The following is a 22,730-nucleotide window of genomic DNA, read 5'->3' on the forward strand; positions in this document are numbered from 1 at the left end:
AAAAATAAATTAGACAGGCATGGTGGCATATGCCTAGGGTGCCACCTACTCAGGAGGCTGAGACAGGAGGATTGCTTGAGCCCAGGAATTCGAGGCTGCAAGGAGCCATGATCATGCCACTGCACACCAGCCTGGGTGACAGAGTGAGACCCTGTCTCAAAGAAAAAAAAATTATATTAGCTGGAATCCATTTCCAAATCTTTGGTCAAATGCACTGAGAGAAGGTGTAGCACTGCCTTTTAAAAAAAGTTTTATTTACATATAATTGACATATAATAAACTGCACATATTTATACAATTTGATAAGTTGTTTTGTTTTTGTTTTTTGTTTTTTGAGACATGAATCCAACACCACCCCTTCAACATTTCATCCAGTGTCTTGGTAATCCCCCACTCCCGTCCCTCCACCACTATCGCCAGGCAACCACTGATCTGTTTTCTGTCATTGAAGATTAGCTTACATTTTTTAGAATTTCGTATCGGTGGAATCATACAGTATGCAGCTTTTTGGTCTGCTTTCTTTCACTCAGCCTAATTATTTTGAGACTCATCCATGCTGTAGCTTTCCTTTTATTGCTAAATAGTATTCTATTGTATAGATATACCAGTTTATTCCTTCAATTGTTGATGGACATTCTGTTTCCAGTATTTGGCTATTATAAAAGTAAAACTGTTATGAACATAATATACACGTCTTTGCCTTCATTTCTCTTGAGTAGGTACTAAGAGTAGAATGGATGGATTATATGGTAGGTGTATGTTTAGATTTTTCAGAAATTTCTAAACTTTTTTCTGAAATGATTTTACCATTGCATATGTGAATTCCAGTTGCTCCACATTTGGTTTGGTCAGTCTTTTTTAATTTTAGCCATCCTAATAGGTAGGTGTGGTATGTCATCATGGTTTTAATCTGCATTTCTTTAATGACTAATGATGCCAAACACATTTTCATGTACTTATTTGCCTTCTTCATTTTTATGAAGTATCTGCTCATGTATTTTGCCCATCTTTTAGTTGCATTGTTTGTTCTTACTGTTGAGCATGGAGATTTCCTCACATATTCTGGATATAAGCTCTTTACTAAATAAATGCCTTGCAAATATTTTCTCCCAGTCTGTGTCTTATCTTTAGATTCTCTTCACAGTGTCTTTCAAAAAGCAGAAGATTTTAATTTTGATAAAGTCCAGTTTATTAATTGCCTTCCATGAATCAGAGGTTTTCTCTTACATTTTCTTCTAGAAAATGTATAGTTTTAGAGTTTACATTTAGGCCAGTGGTCCATCTTGAGTTAGTGTTTGCATGTGGTATGAGGTATAGATCAAAGTTAATTTTTTTTTTGCATGTGGATGTCCAAGTATTCTATCACAACTTATCAAAAAGACTATTTTTTCTCTACTTAATTGCCTTTGCACTTTTGTCAAAAATAAGTTGTCTGTTTATTTATGGGTCCATTTCTGGACTTGCTGTTCTATTCCACTGACCTTTTTGTCTATCCTTATGCCAGTACCACACTGTCTTTAGTGTAGCTTTATGTCAAGTCTTGAAATCAGTAGGTTTTTTGTTGTTGTTTTTGTTTTTTTAAGATGGAGTCTCCTTCTGTTGTCCAGGCTGGAGTGCATGATCTCGGGTCGCTGTAACCTCCACCTCCTGGGTTCAAGCAATTCTTCCTTCCTCAGCCTCCCGAGTAGCTGGGATTACAGGCATGGGCCACTTTGCCCAGCTAATTTTTGTATTTTTAGTAGAAACGAGGTTTCGCCATGTTGGCAAGGCTGGTCTTGAACTCCTGACCTCAGGTGATCTGCCTGCCTTGGCCTTCCAAAGTGCTGGGATTACAGGCGTGAGCCACCACGCCCACAGAAATCAGTAGTATTAATTCTCCAACTTTTTTCTTTTTCAGTGTCATTTTGGCTATTCTTGATCCCTTGCATTTCCATTTGAATTTTTGTATCAGTTTGTAACTTTCTACCAAAAAAAATTTTTGCTAAGATTTTGACTGGTATTACATTGAATCCACAGATCAGTTTTGTTATAGCTTAACAATACTGAGTCTTCTGACCCATGAACATAATATATCTCTCCATTTACTTAAATTTTCTGTAATTCCTTTTAGTAATATTATTTTAGTTTTCAATAGACATATCTGTCACATCTGTTGTCAGATTTATTCCTAAATATTTAATATTTTTATGGCATTAAAACATTTTAATTTTGTTTCTCATTGCTAGTATAGAAACACAATTGATTTTTGTGCATTTATCTTATATCCTGCAGCCTTGCTGAGCTCACTTATTAGTTCTTATAACTTTTCTATAGGTTCCATCAATTTTCTACATAGATGATTATTTTATCTGCAAATACAGTTTTGTATCCAATTGGATGCTCTTTATTCTTTTTCTTGACTGATAACACCATATAGAGCCTTCAGTACAATGTTAATAGAAGTAGCAAGAGTAGATGTCTTGCCTTGTTCCTGATCTTAAAAGGAAAGCAAGCATTCAGTCTTTCATCAAGTATTATATCATCTGCAGGCTTTTTGTAAATGTCTTTTATTAGGTTGAGGAAGTTTCCTTGTTCTTACTCTGTTGAGTGTCTTTAGAGAGGGAAATGGGCTAACCAGAGGTAGTTAGTTAAGACATAAAGGGCCAAGTGCCATGTCAAAGGTAGAATGCTTAAGGAACTAAGCCTCCAAGTAGCCAGACCTGTTGGGAGTCTGAAGCAATAACTCAAGAATGAGATAATGAATACTGCCACTGGTCAGTGTCAGCAGGGGTGAGGAAGAAGACACAGATCAAAAGATGTTTAAGGGGTAAAAATGACATGATTTGGACAGAATAATTCCAAGGTTTCTGGCTGGGGTCACTGGGTAAATGTGGTGCCATTTTGGTAAAATAAAAAATACAGAAATTCAGGAGCTGCACATTTGGAGGAACCAGTTTTATACATGCTGAGTTTCCACCAGGAAATAGTATGCAATTAAATATAGATATCTAGGACACTATGGAGAAGTAGGGGGGGAGCTTGGACTTAGACATCATCAGCTCACAGATGCAAGTTGAAACCGTAGGTGAGAATGCCTAAAGATGGTGGAGCCACTGATGCAGCAGCCGGCTCAGTTACAGTGGGCACGTGACAGCCTGGTTCTGGCAACCGCATTTCTGAAGTTAAACACTGTCCTAGTATTTGGACACACAAAAAATAAAATTTTTCAGTTCTTTTATGAATGCAAATTTTAGTTCAATCCCTTAAACAGAAGAATAAGACATAAACTAACAGTACTTCCTCTCATAGACCATGTGGGTGTGTCAGGGGTAGTGTAGAGAGGGAGATTTCTTTATTTTGTACCCTCTCACCAAAGAGAGCCACACAAGCCTAGAAAAAAAAAATGCGCCCTTACACCTTACCTTAATTTGAGAAAAGGCCAGGCATTTACTGGCATTTTGCTGGGACTTGCACATTTGAGCAAGGAAGAATGCAAGTGTAAATGAAGTTAGATTTCAAGCCAGTAAAAACTGGTTCTGAAGCTTTTTAAAAAAGATAAAGTCTGCGTGACTTTAAAAACTGTGTTAAGAGTCTGCTTCAGCAAATCCCTCTATCACAGTTTCTGGAATAAATAAAGATGGTTTAGGAGAAGGATTACTTACTGGAGCTAGAAAATTTTAAATTTTGTTAGGAATTACCAACTTGTTTTAAAAGGTTACAGCCAAATTTTTAATGCAGACTTTTTCAAAGTCTGTATTATTATCTGGAAGATGTCTGATATATGATGGTGTTAAAATATATATTATAACACCACTGATTGTTTTTCCTTCAGCTCTCTATTTTCTCAGATTGTCCAATCTTGTTTTTCCAGCATCCATACTTCTGCATGAGGTAAGGTCCTGTGTTGGCACAGGATTGCTCTATTTGCCATTCTGTGGACATTCGGTGCTAATGTCACACCTTAGTGCCTTTGCCCAGGGTCCACTCATCTGCCTTGTGAACTTATTACTTCTCCTCTGAGAACCCTTTCCCATCCCCTCTCTCCATCAGGAAGAGAAGACTGAAACACTTTTTCGTGTCACCTCTGCACAGAGCAGTCATTCTGTATTGCAATAATTTGTTTATTGTTGTTCTGCTCCTTTTTTAGATGAAAAGATTCTGAAGAATAGAGATCTTGAACATAGCATGGTGCCAGACACATAACAGGTATTCAATAAATGGGCCTGCCAAAGAGAGGGAGGGAGGAAAACAGACTTTTTAAGGAGCCCCTGAAGAATCTGAGCAGAAGGGACCTGAGACATAGGAAGACAAATGAGAAATAATAGTGTCATGGAAGCCAAGGGAGCAGAGAATTGTAACGGGAAGACTTATCATTAGTGTTCATTCCTATTGAGAGCCAATGAGATACTGAACATCCACATTGTATTTTTAGGATCTAAGAAAAGATTTCCTCAGCCATAATCATACCACAGGTAATACTGCAAACATTGTTACCCATATTGAGCAAAGATGTGTTGGCAACAAGACCTTTTGGAGGGAGAAGTCAGTTGACCTGTTTGACTTGGTGATATCCATCATCCTGATATTCTATACTGTTATTTTTTCCTAGTGGCAAACCCACTGATTAGTAGGTCATCTCAGTTGAAAACTGAATAGAGTTCAAAAATAAGAAATGTTTGCAGGATATGCAGTATAGCTGGGTCAGATTGAGATTTGGAATTAATTTGGTAAATCCATACCGGCCTAAAATCTTCTTGGCGGACCATTTCTATGAAGGTGACAATGAGAAAAATGGTGACGGTTGTAAAATTGTATTGTTCTCAATATAATTGCAGCTATCTCACAACAAGCAAAATAATTCAGTTCTATTTAAAAGCTGCCAATAGGGCTGGACACAGTGGCTCATGCCTGTAATATCAGCCTTTTAGGAGGCCAAGGCAGGAAGATCACTTGAGGTCAGGAGTTCAAGACCAGCCTAGGCAACCCCCATCTCTACAGAAAAAAAGCTACCAAAATCCACAAGGAAAGCATGGCTACAAAGTGAGTAAATGTCTTTCTACAGACTGTTTGAACAATCTGAGGGAAAGAAGATTAAAGTCTAACCAAGAAGAATAAAATTTCCATGATATTATAACACCATTTAATATAAAATACACAGCATCTTGAAGGATAATAAAATAATTCAAAAGAGATTAGTATATTGGATTCATAGGAGAATAGAGATCTTTAAAAACATAATGGTCAGCCAGGCATGGTGGCTCATGCCTGTAATACCAGCACTTTGAGAGGTTGAGGCAGGAGGATCACTTGAGGCCAGGAGTTCAAGGCCAGCCTGGACAACATGGTGAAACTCCATCTCTACAAAAAAATACAAAAAGTAGCTGGGCATGGTGGTGCACACCTGTAGTCCCAGCTACTCAGGTGGCTGAGGTGGGGGGTTTGCTCGAGCCTGGGAGGTGGAGGCTGCAGTGAGCCATGATTGCTGCCACTGCACTCCTGTCTGGGTGACAGATAGAGACCTTGTCTCAAAAATGATGATAATGATAATAATGGTCATTAAAACAGAAAATGTCCATTTATGTATTTAAAATTATTTATTTATACTATCAGTTTTGAAATTCCTCTTAGCCCAAAGCCTGTCTCATCGTTCTTCTGACCACCTGAAAAAAAAATTCCACTTTGGCTGTTGCTATACAGAAGGAGAGATGGACTTAACATTGTAATCTATAAATATTCTCATGTAGACAAACCAAGCTAAATGTTCTGTGGTTGATTGTCATTCATGTGGCAGCCAATTTAACTATTTTGAAAGAATGATTTACTTTACTTTTTCATGTTCACAGATTTAATACTACTTTTGAATAAATAAAAATTGTTCCTTGTTTACATTGCTCTAATACTTGAACAATAGAAAATTGAAGTTGTTCTCACTTTTCTCCATTAAAGAAGTGTATTAAATGAGCTAGATCCCCATCTGTTTCTATTCTCTATGAGGGGAAAATGAGTTGGGCAGGAGAGAGATGAAGTTGGACACATCGGGAACTTCTCTTGCCTCTCTTAGGTCATTTACTTTTTAGAGGTTTAGAGGACTTGATGTACTTCTGAAATAGGGTAGAGGATTTTTTTTCCTAATCATAATTTAAATGTCAGGAATACATAATGTTTTTATCTAAAATGCATTTTAGTGTGAAATGCGTCAACATGGATACTAGTAGGAATGCAATTACTTTCTAATATACTCTGGCAAAAATTTGAATTTTCTTGCTTTTTCTCTTTCATTCTGTGAACCTCAAAGACCTCCTGACAACTGTTACATAGGGCAAACCTAGTTAAGTGAGCCAGATCACTCCTTCACAGAGTTGATGCAGTGAGAATCTGCTTGAAACCAATAATTGTTTTTAGGAAAGTAGAGAAAGACTTTTAATTCCTTTTAGATATTACACACATTTAACAATTGTTATGGTGGTATAGTTTAAGGCATGAACTTGAACTTTGGAGTCAGATAAAACCCGTGTTCAAATCTTCTCTCCTCTAATTCCTATGTGTTTTACTCTGTCTCAGCATCTTCATCTATAAACAGGGTGATTAGGAGGAATCAATGAGGTAATGCATGCCAAAGGCTTAGCACAGAATCTGGCCAGTTTTAAGCACGCAGTAAATGATGGCTATTATTATAATGCATTCCAGGTGCATATGTACTTCATTCTGTGTTTTCAGCGGGACTCTTAAAGACAAAGGCACACTATGCAGACATACCTGGTGTACACTCTGTGTGATAATAACACCTTTCCTTAGAGACTTCTATTTAATCTCATACATGCTCTTATGTTGGCCCCATGGTAACAGTGTGATTGAGAAAGACACACTCACCAAATAGTTTGAGCTTCTGCTTTCCTGATTGATGAATTTCTCCCAGTTAGCACCCAATCTTTTGTGCCTAGGATTCTATCTTGCTTTATATTTGAAAATTAAACACTGTTCTTGAAGTTTGGGTTGTAGGAATGTATGTTTTTTCCTCCTATTATATCATTATCTCAAACTTTAAAAAATGCTTTTACTTTATATTTCCTTACTAGAAAAAATGTATTATCATTAGGGTGAGGGAGATTCAGGCAGTCTCATGGGCTTTTAGAAATGGTTTCATACAAGTCACTCATTGTTTTGAAGTTCATGGTACATTTCAGCTTGACAAAGTTATTCTAGGTCCTGGGAGGGAAGTGGTGCAGATGATTCTCAGAACTGGTGAAATAACTTAATAATCTAATACATAAATATGATTGCTGGATTATAATTATAGTTATGATTGCTAGATTATAATGGTAACTCTCAATTGGGCATACTTGTAAGGAAAAATGCTTTTCTCTCCAGAAAATCTGTTGTGGTTTGGAGACCTGTTGCTGAAAGGGCATAAAGAGAACAAAACTTGTATTAGTGTGGAAGTATATTCTCAAGTTGGTAAACAGAACCAGCTCCTAAATATCAACAAATATTAAAACGTATTTAGCATCTAGGAAACCAAAATAAACAGTGATTTCTGAAATGACCCCTAAATCCCTTATAATGTTATGTATCTATTGATTCCAGGCACTGGGAAGGGAAAAGGCAAATCTCATCTCACATTGCAACCAGACAGAACACAAAAGGGGTGTTGTGTGTATGTGACAGAGAGAGATTGCTGATGGACATGGGCATAGCATGGCCATAGAAGCTATCTGCCAGCTGGAGCACAGCATGGCTGGGGAAGATGAATTATAGAGTGATGATTTCTGCACAGTCAGTTAAGGAAGAAAGTGCAGAACATTTCCACATACATAGAGCAAGAGGGAAGGGAGCAAAGGACATAAAAATGCAAAATCCAGGAGAGAGAGAGAGAGAGAAAGAAGCTGGATGATAGGACAAGCAGGAATCTTGAGTGAAGAAATGCTGGTTTTTCTTAGACCACCAAACCCATTGACCATTTTAGTTTAAAGCTAGGCAGAATCCCCGCAAGGATAATAACGTTGACTTTTTATTTGTGAGTGGAGGCCTGTCATTACTTCTATGGCTAAGGCTTGTTTTCTAGACCTCTGACTCCACTGCCAGGCAGTAGGAACTTCTGGAGAAGCTATCTGCCAGCTGGAGCACAGGATGGAAGGGGTGGGTGGCAAGCAACAGCGGGTTCCCAGCACTGCTGCCTGACACACGCCCACAACCAGTTCCTTCCTGGTCATCACCAGTCATCTCTCATCTCCCTCTTCCAGCCAACTTCCAGTTGGCGGCCAGCCAAATAAGACACTGACTAAAGAAGGATGTTCGTTCTGTGTTATGTGTATAGCTTGAAACTTAAAGGTATGAGGGAATGTAAAAATGCTTCCCCAAAACTGTTTAAAATCCGTAAGAGTTTGGGAAATTATACAAAAAATTAGACTTGTAATTTACGTAGGCATCTATTCTTGAATAGTGAACTGTGTTTGCTTTATGGTGTTGCACCCATGAAGCTGAAATTTCATGCAGCAACCATTACACCACTTTTGTTACCATCCACTCTGAGTCACATCTGTTCAAATTCCCCAGTCTTCTGCCAACTGATGGTTTTTTTTTTTTATCTCTCCTCCCCTGTGCTATTAACTGTAGAAAGGAGGGGCTACTTAGTAATTCTACACCTGTTAAAGTCCACGCCTATCAACTTGTTAAGCTTCCCAAACAAGTGCAGGGTAAAGCATGAGAACATCAGAGTCTGGGGCGGCGGCGGTGGCTGCAACGGTGGCTGTGACGGTGGCTGCCGCTGGGTTTGGCTTTCTGGATTTTTGTTCAGAGTCGCTAATGTATCCCCCACAATGGCAGTTGATGACAGCAATTTATATTCCAGAACGAAGAACAAACTAAATTCATCTCAAAATGATTATAAATCATCAAGAAGGAGTAGCCTGCCACCTGAACTACTCATAGGAAATGACATTAGAGGAAGACTTCAAAGAAACATTAAGAACTTGGATCCCATTCACCTGAGGCACCCGAAGAAGAGACCATCCATATTTCCAGGTAGGAATTGTTTACATTTATACCATCCAATTGAAACAAAACCAAACACACACACACACACACAGATTATATTTCCCTTGTTACAATCAGATGTTCATTTAAAATTAACTTGGGTTACATTCGAAGACTTTAAGTAAATAAACATGTCTGAATATAAAAGAATAATTGTTTGATCTGAAAGCACACTATCTTCTTCGTTTTATTTTCTTTATTGATTGTAACATCTTTAAGGACCTGTAAATAGGCAGCTATTTTATTATTTGTTGGCATCAGCAGGAATGTGGAACTACTTTGCTTGCAATCCTGAAGAATTCCATTGATGTATTTCATTCTCTGGCATTTTTTTTTTTTGCAATATTATTGGATTGTTGAGTGAAGTTGATGTTTGTGTGCACCAAAAATTAACACCATTAAACACTCCAATGCATGCTTCAAATTCCTGTCTTGCATCAGAGCCTAAAACCATTTGTAGTAAAAAGCTCAACTGAACAGTGTGGATGGTGAAATATATTAGAGCACAGGAGACATGGATTTCAGTCTTGATAAAGGGACTCTGATGTCTGCCCCAGATGTTTATGTGTGCATATTATAGATACGTAGATTGTCAGAGATACCTGTGACTGCGAACCTTAATTGAGCTAAGTGATCACTGGAGAGTATAAATTATATGAATTATATAGCCAATTTGGTTTCAATACTATTTGCTTTGGGATTTCCAGGAAAAACTGAAAGTGGCCTTTTTGTTATGGCTGATCGATTTATTGGAGCCTTCTTTATGGGGGACAGATGAGACTAAATTATTTTTTGGTTTTCTGTATTCATAGAGTTAACCCAACACTTAGGGCTAACTCTATGAATGTAGGAAGCCAAAAAATAATTTAGTCGAGTTTTACTTCATAAAAATTATATGGACTACCCAAAACAGCTGACTCTTTATACTGCTTTTGGAAAGCGAGAAGATAAAGATGATTTAGAGATGTGGGACTCAAAATTACATTTCTTAAGGAAGCTATTTTAATAAATTTCTTCAGTTCAGTGATATTGCCCTAGTGTCACACTCTTCTGCAGAAAAGAAGCAAAACTCAGCCTGGAGTGGGCCAGAAGGTGTCAGTGTGTGAGTGTGTTAGGGGGAAGGAGAGGGGGATGGTATGAAAAGTGCTGGAAAGAGGAGCATTTGGGTGCCTGAAGTATTTCACAGAGCACAGTCACTTTCTGCCTGTTCGCTTGGATCTCCTAAGGGTACCAAGGAGCTCAGGCCTGCTGTGTTTCCTAAAACTACATGGTATGATGTACTTTCTGATGAATTGGTTCACTAGCCCTTCTTCCAGAACCTTCTTGCAGAGCAGTTCTTCACCTTTTGCTTTTTCTTCTCTTAACATTATTCTTTGGTTAATTATGTCTGGATTCAGGTACCTTATAATTCATCCTGCACTTCTCTGCCACCACCGACATAGCCCCACCCCCATACTTCATGGCCTTCTTCTTTCCAAACAACTGGATCCAGGGGAATGCCTCACTCCTGCAGCCAGCATTCCTGCTTTGCCCTCTCGTTCTATAAGGTCATCTGGCCCTGGCTGGTAGCTACAGCCACAAACTTATGAGAAGGCCTCTTGGCTTGAATCTTACATAAGTTGTCCTTTCTAAGATCTTGAGTTGACATAATTAATTTGACAAGGTGGAGTTGTGAAAAGAGCACTCAACTTCAGGGAGGTGAGTTCCAGTCTAGACTATGTCCTTAACTACCTGTGTATGTTCTCCAAGCTACCTCACTGACCCCTGTGACCCCTCAACTATACCACCTGTTTCTGCTCTTTCTGTGCCCAGTACTCTCCTTAGGGGCAGCAGCAGAAGAGGGGCGTTTCCCACCCCTCTCCCAACCTCTCCACTAGGGTCTCCAGTGGACAAGTTACAGAGTCACCTGCCCAAACTTCGTGCAATACTTACTGGCTACTTGATTTCTAAATCCCCGCTATGTAAACCACGACTCCACCCTCAGTCAGGCAGGTTTCACTAACTGACTGATTTTTACAGTGGATGATTTAGAAACTCCACTGGGCCATCAGTTTTCCCACAGTGCCTGCGTACCACCTGAAAACAGAAATGCACACAGATTGTGATAACCATTCCCATTCTAGCTACGCAGTGGCACGTAAAGAATAGGCATAATAGATGTGGAACCCAATGGTCAGAGAAATTAAGGCACATCTCAAAATTAATAAACATCAAAACTAAGATTCAGACCTTGGTCTTTTGACTCCAACACTGAAGCTGTTTCTACTCTGTTCCACTTTACTCCATTGTCAACTGTTATCATTTGTCTGATGAGATTCAAGACTTGAAGACATGTCAGTGTTCCAATCAGCTTTCACTCTGACCCTTATATACATACAGACAACTTTATCCTCTGCCTGAAGTCTTGTATTTTCAATCCTGCACCAAATTATTGATTGATTCACTGATCACTTCATTCACAAAATAATCATTTTGTTCTTACATTGTGTTAAGGATAAAACTTCAAGGATCTAACTGCATATTACCCTTTTTTTTTTTTTACCCATTGCTCCTTTAGGGCCATCTCACACTGCAGATAGTTACCTAAAATGCACATCCACTTGTTTCATTCTCTTGCGTAAAATTCCTCAAGGTTACCACTGCTGTTAGGATGAAGTCCAAACTCTTTAATATGAAGTACAAGAGATGCAAATTCTGGCCACTGCTTCCATCCCCAGCCTCTTTTCCAGCCCTCCTTCCCCTTGTGTTTCAACAAATTCAGCCACTTTCAGATCCTCATGGTCCTTCACATTTGCAATTCTAGTGTAAGTACTGTATACTCTACCTGCACAGTTTCACCCAACCAGTTTCTACCTTGGCTTTGGGGGTCAACTTGACATCCCCTCTTCCAGGAAGTTTTCTTGATGCCAGTGTTTGGGTTGGGTCCTTTCTGCATCCTTCTCATAACACCTGGACTTTTCCCTATCATAGCACTTATCACACTATATTGTCATTGTCTGTTTACTTCTCCGTATCTCCCACTTGCCAGTGACCCAGGAATGATATCAGTCTTGTTAACCATTGTATACCTAGTACCTATCACAATGCCAGGCACACAGTGTGCATTCAATAAATATTTATTCAATTGACTCAAATCACACTGAATGGAATTAACTCCTGGTATACCTTGTGTGCTCTGGCTTCTCCCAGACTCTGTCTGTGGCATTCTCCCTCACCTCCCAACATACAGACACACATACCACACACACACCCTGCATTTCTGTTATGCCTTTTCTTCCATTCTTCCGCTGGTTAAAGGCCAAATCCTAGGCTTCTATCTTCTTCCTCTGACCTCCTTTAGTTTTCCTTGATGCCACCTCCTTGACCTCAGGGATGCATTATAGTAACTTTATGTTTGTATGAAAACTCTCTGAAAAGCAGAGACTATCTCAGTTGCTTCCTTGCGTGGCTCATTTGTCTAGGAGGGGGGAAATTGCGCAAAGTAGGTATCCCATCAACATCTAGTGGTTAATTAACTGATTTGCTATGAAGCTGTGTCAACTCTGTGGAGCCTATCTGATTCTGGCTCCAAGAAAGAATTAGTTGGTAGATAGAGATTGCCAAAGGGAAAGGTCTTTATACTGATTTTTATAACAATCTGAACTCCTAGCTGGGGGAAAATGCAGGTATGGCTTATCTTAGTGTGTCATTCATTCATTATTAGGATTCTACTATATGCCGGGAACCATTCTAGGCCTTGGAAAGAAAGCAGAAAACCAGACAGTTTCTGGTTTAGGCTGATGGGAAAGAATTTTCCCAGCAGAGTACCTTGCGTATTGCACACCTCAATAAATATCTCCAGAGTAAAGGAATGAATGACCCTCGTGGTCACAGCAACGAATCTTAAAAGAAGAAACCAATATATTTTAAAGTCATATTTATATAAAAACATTAAACTAACATTTTGTTTTCTGTTAAAAAAGCCTCAACAATAGAATGTTAGTGTGAGTTATTTGGCTGAGGGTCCTAAGAGACCAGGCCTTAAGAGTCTAGGCCTCTGTAGCAAACAGGCAGCCTGTTTTCTAGTTCCTTCTGAAAGAACTCCAGCAGCTGAGTTCATAGCAGTGGGCCTAGCTTGGTTTAAGGAAGCAAAAGGGAGAGAGAGAAGTGGTCCTGACACACATCATGCCCACAGGCATATCAGATTAAAATGAACATCTCACCCTGCACCTGGAAAAAAGGGGGGCTCAGGCACCATGTGTGATGGGTTGTTCATTCAGCACTCTTAAACCAACAAGTTGGGATGTTTAATCAGCTAGTTCTTATACTATCATGCTGATTTTACAATTATCTGTTGTGAAAAGCAAGGAACCATCTGCTTGGAGGAAACAGGCAGCTCCAGGTACTTCCTTGTTGCTTAGTCAGAGGACAAGTGTGATGAGGACTGTTCACGACCAAGAGGAAAAGAGAGCCCTGGCCAGGACTCACATAGCAGGAACACCAGCATGTAGGCTAACATTGCTTCTCGTTTTTAAGTCAAAGTTCTATTCCAAACACAAGTTTTTTTTTTCTCAAATCCACAATCTAAAAAACTTACTTAAAATTATTTTATTTTTATAATTAAATGGATTTTGAGCATTTCTAAAGTTAGACTGCTGTATTTGTTTTCTTTCTGCATGTAGGTTTTTATTGGAAACATAAGGTAGTCATAGGAACAATGGTGGCTAGATGCTTTCTGACCTTCCTGCGGGTAAACAGCCTCTGTCAAGGAACTGTAGAGATGGGGGTCTGGTCTGGGTTCCCTCCTCAGAGCCTCCTCATCACAGCACAGTGAAGGCACTCTGTGATTAGGCGTGTCTCCTTAAGTGTTATGTTCTCTGTTAGAATTCTGTCATTCTGGAAGCCTGCAGACAGGTGTGTTTGATGACGTTTCAGTGGGGCCTTCAGGAGACATGCAGAACTTATGGTCAGGGCATCCATAAACATGTGCTATGAAGAGAGTGCCTCCTGAGATTGTATTCAGTGGCCTTAGGTTGCAAATGGGCTCAGTGGTTACAGTTTGTGAGGACAGGAACAGTGTCTTCCTACACCGTGGTATTCCCCACAACACTTACCACAGGGTTAGGTGCTTAAGAGCTGGTGAAGTCATCAGGCAAGGTGGAAGACAGACGATGTGCAAGAAGTGTGTCACAGCCACTCAGCTGGCCACACCCCTGCCCATCTGGTCACGCAGCTTCCTTAAATAGCTGCTTCTCAGGCAGGCCTTGCTCAAGGCCAGAGTCAAGGGAGCCTCAGAGACAAGAGTTTGAACACTTCCTCTCATGAGAGGACTTCAGCCCAGGGATTTCACAAAGTCAGTATCTGCTTCACAATTGGTTTCATGTTCTGATCCCCCATCTTACTAAACATGTAATCTGGGACAAGCCACTGGCTCTCTCAGAACCTGTTTCTTCATCTGTGAAATGGGAATGCAAACACCAGTTTCACCAGCTGTCTTAAACCCAAATGAGATAATGCATAACTACAAAATGATACACAAATGAGGTTGACTGTACTATTCTTATTCCTTGATGGCATTAAAGGTTTTTTTTTTCATAATTAGTACTTTTTCTTTGAATGTGTGAGTGGTAGATGCAATTGGAACCCTTTTGCAACTCTTCTTGGTTGGAAAGTTATCTAAAGTTGCTAATCAGACCCTCTGCTAATGTAAATTCTATATACTGAGACACTGCTAAACACCCATTAATTTTAACTTTCTCATTAAAAAGGATGACATAGAAACCCTTCTTTGTAGTCAATATAGATGTATTTTCTCAAAGTGAATCATTAAACTTAAGGGCTTTGTCATGTGAGGCCTCTGAAAATTGTACAATATTAGAAACATCAATGTCTGTGTTTAATAAACTTACTGGTAGCTTTACTGTGTTGAATGTCTCCACCTAATTTTGTTTGTTTAAAACCTTGCTTTTGGAAATTTAGCCCTTCAACTTTTCTTTAACAAAATCTTGGAATGAACTTCTGATTTAAAAAAAAAAAAAAAAGCTTATATATAATGTTGTACATGAGCTCACCACTTGAAAGTAATTTACTTAAATAATGAGATTAAATTTTAAAACCTTTGAGTGTCAACACATTTTTATTTAAAATTTGATATATATGGCCTTTCCTGTTTAAAAATACTGATTAACAAAAACTGAGATAGCCTGTTTACTTTTTATTTATTTACAATAAATAAATACAATAAATAAAATTTATTTATTTATTGGACAAGTTTACTGAGGATGGAGTTTTTGGTTTTGTTTTGCTTCGTTTTCTAAAAAAGGACGGAAACACACCCTTTCCTTAGGCGTCCTGCGTCCCCCGATTCCTGCTCCCTGGTTGCCGCGTCCTTGGCTGGCGTCAGAAAAATGGCTACAAACTTTCTAGTAGGTGAGAAGATCTGGTTCCACAAGTTCAAATATGGCGATGCAGAAAGGAGATTCTACGAACAGATGAACGGGCCTGTGGCCGGCGCCTCCCTCCAGGAGGCCAGCATGATCCTCCATGATATTGCCAGAGCCAGAGAGAACATCCCGAAATCCCTGGCCGGAAGCTTAGGCCCAGGGGCGTCTAGCGGCCCCAGCGGAGACCACAGCGAGCTCGTCGTCCGGATCGCCAGTCTGGAAGTGGACAACCAGAGAGACCTGGCTGAACGTGCTGGAGAAGAGCTTGCCCGGCCACTGGGCCACAGCCCCGCAGACCCAGCACATGTCTCCCATGCGCCAAGTGGAGCCCCCGGCCAAGAAGCTAGCCACACCAGCAGAGGATGACGAGGACGATGACATTGACCTGTTTGGCAGCGACAATGAGGCAACACAGCTGCGGCATTACCAATGAGGAGCGGCTGCAGCAGTACGCGGAGAAGAAGGCCAAGAAGCCCGCGCTGGTGGCCAAGTCCTCCATCCTGCTGGACTTCAAGCCTTGGGACGATGAGACGGACACGGCCCACCTGGAGGCCTGTGTGCGCTTCATCCAGCCGGACGGGCTGGTGCGGGGGGCCTCCAAGCTGGTGCCCGTGGGCTACGGTATCTGGAAGCTGCAGATTCAGCGTGTGGTGGAGGACAAGGTGGGGACAGACTTGCTGGAGGAGGAGATCACCAAGTTTGAAGAGTGTATGCAGAGTGTCGACATCGCAGCTTTCAACAAGATCTGGCCTGAGTGTGTGTGTGTGCCCGCGTGCATGAGGCCCTGACACAATTAAAAACTGAGACCGGCAAAAAAAAAAAAAAAAAAAAGGGACGAAAACAAACTTAATGAAGCTATTAGTGGTAACCTGGTTACTTTTAAGGAAAACTAGAATGCTAATACTATATTATTTATGTGCATGATTTATTAGCAAGGGGGAAACTGTTTTTACCTTTATGTAGGGACTGATAGTGAGCCCAGTATGAGCAGAAAATGTTAGATTTATAGCTCAACTTTAGATTTTTCTCCTTGTCATGAAAAAAGAATCAAAAAACAGGGTTCTGAATTCAAGACTTGCCTTATAAGTATATTGAGAAATGACTTGAAGAGATGTGGCCTAAAAGCAGTTCCTTTTCAATTGTTGCTCTATAGCTAATGTGTAGTTACAGATTTGAGAGCTTCCACATAATTTTCTCTCACATTCCTAAATAATGCTCTAATTATATATTCATATCTGGACTATGAAAATATTTTTATATCTGTGTAATTTAATATTTACTCAGTATACTCCAGTAATACTTTTTAAGCACTTGTAGTTGTCTGTCTAAGTAATGCTTTTAAAAGTGTTTGAGAGGATAGTGGCCATCCAGTTACTCAGTTACAAAAGAAATGGCCATACCCAACGTTCTTTGTTTCAAATAATTTGGGGGAAAGTAGCTACCTAAGGAATCTTTGCTTAAGTATTTAATTGTTATACCTCCATCTTTTTTTATAATCTGGAAGAATATAGATTTGGGAATAGAGGTTTAAAAAATGGGATGAAATGGATAGTTTTTGGTGACATGAACGTAAAAACTCTCATTACAAGATGGTCAGAGCTGGGCTCAGTGGCTCACGCCTGTAATCCCAGCTCTTTGGGAGGCTGAGGAGGGCAGATCACCTGAGGTCAGGAGTTCGAGACCAGCCTGACCAACATGAAGAAATCCCATCTCTACTAAAAATACAAAATTAGCCGTGCTTGGTGGCACATGCCTGTAATCCCAGCTACTCGGGAGACAGGCAGGAGAATCCCTTGAACCCGGGAGGCGGAGGTTGCAGTGAGCTGAGATCACGCCATTGCACTCTAGCCTGAGCAACAAGAGCGAAACTCTGTCTCAAAAAACAAAAACAAACAAACTGGGCATGGTGATGCAGACCTGTAATCCCAGCTACTTGGGAGGCTGAGGCAGGAGAATCGCTTAAACTCAGGAGATGGAGGTTTCAGTGAGCCGAGATGGCCCCACTGCACTCCAGCCTGGGTGACAGAGCAAGACTCCATCTCAAAAAAAAAAAAAAAAAAAAAAATGGTCAAAGTATTTTTCAGTCATTATTTTAATGTTTAGAATTTCCATCCTAAGTGGTGTTCATTCTTTTGAGTTAAACAACTGATTGTCAATGTACCCTTGAACATCCTGGGAGTTCAAAGCACATAGATGGAGGAACAACAAAGAAGATGTGTATTTTTGTCACTAGATTAGATTTATTGGTGTGTTCTCTCAGCTATCAAATAACTTCTCTCCCACCTTGACACTTAAGACAGACTAAAGTCATCTTAATGAATAATTAATACTGAATAAAGCTTTAGAGTAACTGATTTTTATAAGCAAGAAAGAGGCAATTTCAAGATACACTATTTTTAGGTTTTAAGTATCAAAATAGATGCCGAAGGAAAATTAAAGGTATACCTAAGAAAGACTACATCTATTCAACAAAAATCTAAACTATGTTGTTGCATGTGTATTGGGTGCAAAACACGGTACAAGGACTCAACAATTGTTAAGACACTGATACACAGTAATCTGCTTTCCTATCTAATTTTTTGCTAGGAGAGCAGAATGCTTTAATTTGGGTTTTCCTGCTTCATTGACATCAGTATTTAAGCTTCCCTATTGCACCAGCTAATGGCAATACTGACACTATGTCATCTGGTAGAGAATCCCTAATTGGCAACGATGTATTTTCCTCCAGGAAAGTACCAGGGGCCTTAGGTGTCCTCCACATCAGGGTTTCTTAGTTGGGGGTTTGTATGCTTTTTGTAATTTATGTCTGTTCTCCACACTCTAAAAAACAGCTAAGTGGCAAACGGTCATAAGTCAAATATCCCTCCTCAAGTCCCAACTCAGGAACAGTTTCTGGTTTTTTGAGAGTACATTGGAGCCCCTGCATAACAAAAGGAATATTAACTTACCAATTTAGGGCTGTTGTTTTCAAACGATTGTGCAAATCTGAATTTCTGGAGGAGGTTTTCCAAAATCCACAGGCACTGGCCAAGAGATGTGATTTACCAAGTCTACACTGGGCCAGGCATCTAACTGCAGTGTGAACATTTTCCCAGGTTCATCTGATGTTGTCCCATCCCCTGGTCAAGAACTACTGACTTAAAGAAAGTGGAAAAGATCTTCAAAGATCAAAGTTTATTTGTAAACTATTCTAAGTTTCACGTGTAAGAAGCAGGAGGCAGCTATGCCTGGCAGACCTCTGTTGCTTCCCCTTGCAATCCAGTCCCCTTCCACGTACCCACCCAACCACTACCACCCTCGAAGTTTAGTGTATTCTCTGGCAAGAGAGGAACCTGTAATTTGAGTTTCATCATATGCAAAGTGCCTCTGTGTCCCCACTCATAACTGTAAAAACCAGAACTGCAGAGTGCAGAGGTCCAAACACACCCATATTACGGTCTTTGTTCTAAATCCTGCTCACACCATAGGGTAAAATATTAGGACTCGCTCTGTGCCTCTCAACCATCTTTTTTTTTTCCTTTTATTTTTAGTTGACATATAATAATTGTACATATTTATGGGATAGAGAGTAATATTTCCATACATATATACAATGAGTACTGATCAAATCAGGGTAGTTAGCATATCCATCACCTCAAACATTTATCATTTCTCTGTGTTGCAAACATTTAGAATTCTCTCTTCTAGCTTTTTTTTTTTTTTTTTTTTTTGAGATGGAGTTTCATTCTTATCACTCAGGCTGGAGTGCAATGACGCGATCTGGGCTTACTGCAACCTCCGCCTTCTGGGTTCAAGTGATTCTCCTGCCTCTGCCTCCCAAGTAGCTGGGATTACAGGTGCACGCCACCACACCCAGGTAATTTTTGTATTTTTGGTAGAGATGGGGTTTCACCATATTGGTCAGGCTGGTCTCGAACTCCTGACCTCAGGTGATCCACCCGCCTTGGCCTCCCAAAGTGCTGGGATTACAGGCCTGAGCCACCACACCCAGCTTTGGCTTTATGAGAATGTACAATAAGTTATAATTAACCACATTCACCCTACAGTGCTACAGAACACCAGAACTCATTTCTCCTATCTAGCTGTAATTTTATATCTGTAGACCAACCTGTCCCCATCCTTCCCTCCCCCTTGCCCTTCCCAACCTCTGATACCCCCAATCCTACTTTCTGCTTTCATTAGCTCAAATTTTGGGGGGGCTCCCACAGGTGAGTGAGAACATGCAACAATGAATTTTTTAAAATGGTAACAGTGCCTGTTAGAGGCAGCTGATTAGAGTAAGTTGGATGAATGAGAAACATTTCAAGGTTTTTAAAAATAAAAGCTCTCAACAATACAGATGATATTATAAAATATAGAAATGTTTAATGAAGAAGAGTTAATGAATATCATCGGTGATACTGAGTGCTGCACAGAAACTTCATTACTCAGAATTAGGGTAAACTATAGCTACATATTTTCTTTTGTTACTGAATCACATCCATATGAAACAAATAGCAATCTGGAAACTTCTCAAAAGAAATATTCTCGAAATGTGATTATTTATAATAAGGATGCCATGAATCACTATATAGTTATTTAAACAAAAGGCAAGGCAGTTTTGGAAAACTATAAACATTGCAAAGTTATGGCCTTGTATTTTTTCTTATTTTCTGCTAAATTAGAAAGAAATTTGCTGTTTCAAATATACTCAAGCTGTTCAGTTCTTCAACAAAAAGTAGGTGACTGAAAACTGTATGTTTAACTATGCTTAAGTTAATATTTATAGTAATGATAGAAGCCATTTTATTGGCAATATATCACTTCCTGATTTCCACACCAGGCATTCCCACATGCACAAACAGGTGTGTGGGAGGAAGGGAAATGGGCAAGAATGATTTCCTTCAAGAGGCTACTGAGAATGAAAACTCAAAATCTGCACAAATAGGGGTGGTGGAAGGAGAGAAAGAAAACTCCATGCCAGAAATAACATGCTTAGCAGAGAGAGAGAGAGAAGAAGAAGAAGAAGGAGGAGGAGGAGGAGGAGAAGAGGGGGGAAGGGGGAAGGGGAAGGGGAAGGGAGAGAGAGAGAAGGAAGGAAGGAGAAAGAAAAGAAAGAGAAAGAAAAGAAAAGAAGGAAGAAGAGGAAGGAGGAGAAAAAAACAGCAGAAATAAAGTAATGTGGCACCTATATCCACAGACATATCTTCCAGCAGGTAAAGTGTAAAGTAGTTTTTATTTTGAAAAGTTGATTGATACACACAGGGCTAGATAACTGATAAACTGCAGATAAGAAACTGGGTTTGGTGCTTGCCTGTGGGAAATGAGGATGTTCCTTAAATGTCACCTAGATGGTTAAAAGGAAGGGAAGTATGAGTGAGTCACTGCCGATTTGATGAGTAAGGGTTCCTTCTTTAAAAGGTTCTTTGGGATGGGCACGGTGGCTCACACATGTAATCCCAGCACTTTGGGAGGCCAAGGTAGGCTGATCACCTGAGGTCAGGAGTTCAAGACCAGCCTGGCAAACATGGCAAAACCTTGTCCCTACTAAAAATACAAAAATTAGCTGGGCATGGAGGCAGGCACCTGTAATCCCCAGCCACTTGAGAGGCAGAGGCAGGAGAATTGCTTGAACTCGCGAGGCAGAGGTTGCAGTGAGCCAAGACTGTGCCACTGCACTCCAGCCTGGGTGACAGAGCAAGACTTCATTTCAAAAAATAAATGAATAAAGTAAAATAAAATAAAATGTTCTTTGAAAGTTCCCAAACATTGAAAATAATGATGAATTAACAGAAGATTGAATGAAATGAGATAGTAAGAATCGAAGGTTTCTGTTTCATTCTCCCCACAAAACAACAACAGACTCTTTTATCTCTAACCAACTGCTGCCTTTGGAGGTTTTATAGGGATGTTGGCTGGGGTAGAAGTGGAGAACGAGACAGGGAGAGAGAGATTGAGGCTTTTAAGAGTTGCTGGCTACTCCTTCTGTTGCACTTCTCCTTGAAAGGCCTCCCTAGGGCAGTCTACCTGTTATTGCTCTAAAATTAAGTTAGGATCTAGCTCTGTTGTAGTTGGGCAGCAGAGGTAGACATTATGCCAATATATGCCATTTTGATGTTCAGATAGAAGTCCAGCATTGTGAGTTACTTTCATTATGTGTGAAAATACGGTGTGTAGAAGTAGGTAAAAATTTGCTCAAAAATTCACTACATTCTTTCAGGAGCTATAGCAAAGCAGCAATTTATGATTTTGTTTCTTTTAAATGTGGAAGTTTGGGATTCACAAATGCTATGAAATAGATAAATACATAAAAGTTGTACACAAAATGCACATTAACCAGCTGACTAGAATTTTGCCCCAACCCCGAACTGGAATGTTTATGAACCCCTAATCTCTTGTACTCTGCAATTCTAACCTCAGTGTGCCACATTGCTGCATGTTACTCATTGCTGAATGGAGTGGCACATAACATCTATTTAAATGCTGCATAATAGAACTATGGTATCGTTTAGGACTTTATATAAAAGTTATAACATTTGAAATGCCATGAATTTCATCCCAGTGGCAACATTTCTGTAGTCAGCTTTTAAGGAATATGATTAGATGAGATGTATACTCCACTTTTAAAATATTTTAATTATCAGAATTATAGAATTACATGTTTTTTTTTTAAGTCACATAGATTCTTCAAGCTTGGATCTTACCAAGCCTGGACATCAATGAGCTATTTCAGTTTGTTGTTGTTGTTGTTTTAATCAATGATAGGGCATCTTGGAAAGCCTATGGCATTTCCTCAAAAGTTTCCTTCTTATTTTCCCTCCTAATTATTAATCTTACATAAGATGTGCCAAGATTGATTCTTGGGGATTTACTATTTTTTGTTTATAGATCAAGCTTCAAAAAGTGCATGGTGGTTATGCTGTTGAAGAACTTAGACAAGAAAATAACTCACTTGGCAGTGAGCACAGTGGAGAATCAAAGAATCAATGAATTGTGGATCTGAAAGAAATAGAGAACATCAAATTCAGTGCACTCATTTTACAGATGAAAAACTGTAGACCTACAAAGACAGTTGACATGGAGGGTCTTCTGATTCCCGTAATGTTCTATAGCATCATCCTTCATGAGATCATCACAGAAACCTAGTTTAAGAACCTCTGGGTCATTTTTGTATGCATGAAAAGTGAGAAGAAAATGATACCCACACCTTCCTGTGGGTCCAGAGGCCAGCAATCCATGCATCAACCTGTGTTTATTAAATACCCACATGCCCTCTGCTGTGCACCAGATATTGGTGGGCAGGGCTGGTGTGTGAAT

The 22,730-nt window shown here is 39.7% G+C and overlaps 1 pseudogene across 1 annotated transcript in view, besides 3 other annotated features; it reads left to right on the top strand.

The window, feature by feature from the left end:
- EEF1DP3 (eukaryotic translation elongation factor 1 delta pseudogene 3) overlaps positions 1–22,403 on the top strand; it is a 112,802-nt pseudogene extending 90,399 nt beyond the window's left edge. The window contains exons 2-4 of the transcript NR_027062.1: positions 8,828–9,000; positions 19,148–19,290; positions 22,302–22,403. The product of NR_027062.1 is annotated as a eukaryotic translation elongation factor 1 delta pseudogene 3 (transcript). The remainder of the gene's footprint in view (positions 1–8,827; positions 9,001–19,147; positions 19,291–22,301) is intronic.
- Positions 8,197–8,698: an enhancer, noted in NCBI's record as "H3K4me1 hESC enhancer chr13:32519515-32520016 (GRCh37/hg19 assembly coordinates)". NCBI's record gives its function as "activates a minimal SCP1, AML or CMV promoter by ChIP-STARR-seq in naive H9 embryonic stem cells {active_cell/tissue: H9 hESC(naive)}" and the evidence as "EXISTENCE:reporter gene assay evidence [ECO:0000049][PMID:30033119]".
- Positions 8,699–9,198: an enhancer, noted in NCBI's record as "H3K4me1 hESC enhancer chr13:32520017-32520516 (GRCh37/hg19 assembly coordinates)". NCBI's record gives its function as "activates a minimal SCP1, AML or CMV promoter by ChIP-STARR-seq in naive H9 embryonic stem cells {active_cell/tissue: H9 hESC(naive)}" and the evidence as "EXISTENCE:reporter gene assay evidence [ECO:0000049][PMID:30033119]".
- Positions 14,261–14,360: an enhancer, noted in NCBI's record as "active region_7552". NCBI's record gives its function as "activates an Ori minimal core promoter by ATAC-STARR-seq in GM12878 lymphoblastoid cells {active_cell/tissue: GM12878}" and the evidence as "EXISTENCE:reporter gene assay evidence [ECO:0000049][PMID:35858748]".
- Positions 22,404–22,730: the final 327 nt, after the last annotated feature.

Source organism: Homo sapiens, chromosome 13, assembly GCF_000001405.40.
Source record: "Homo sapiens chromosome 13, GRCh38.p14 Primary Assembly".
NCBI lineage: Eukaryota > Metazoa > Chordata > Mammalia > Primates > Hominidae > Homo > Homo sapiens.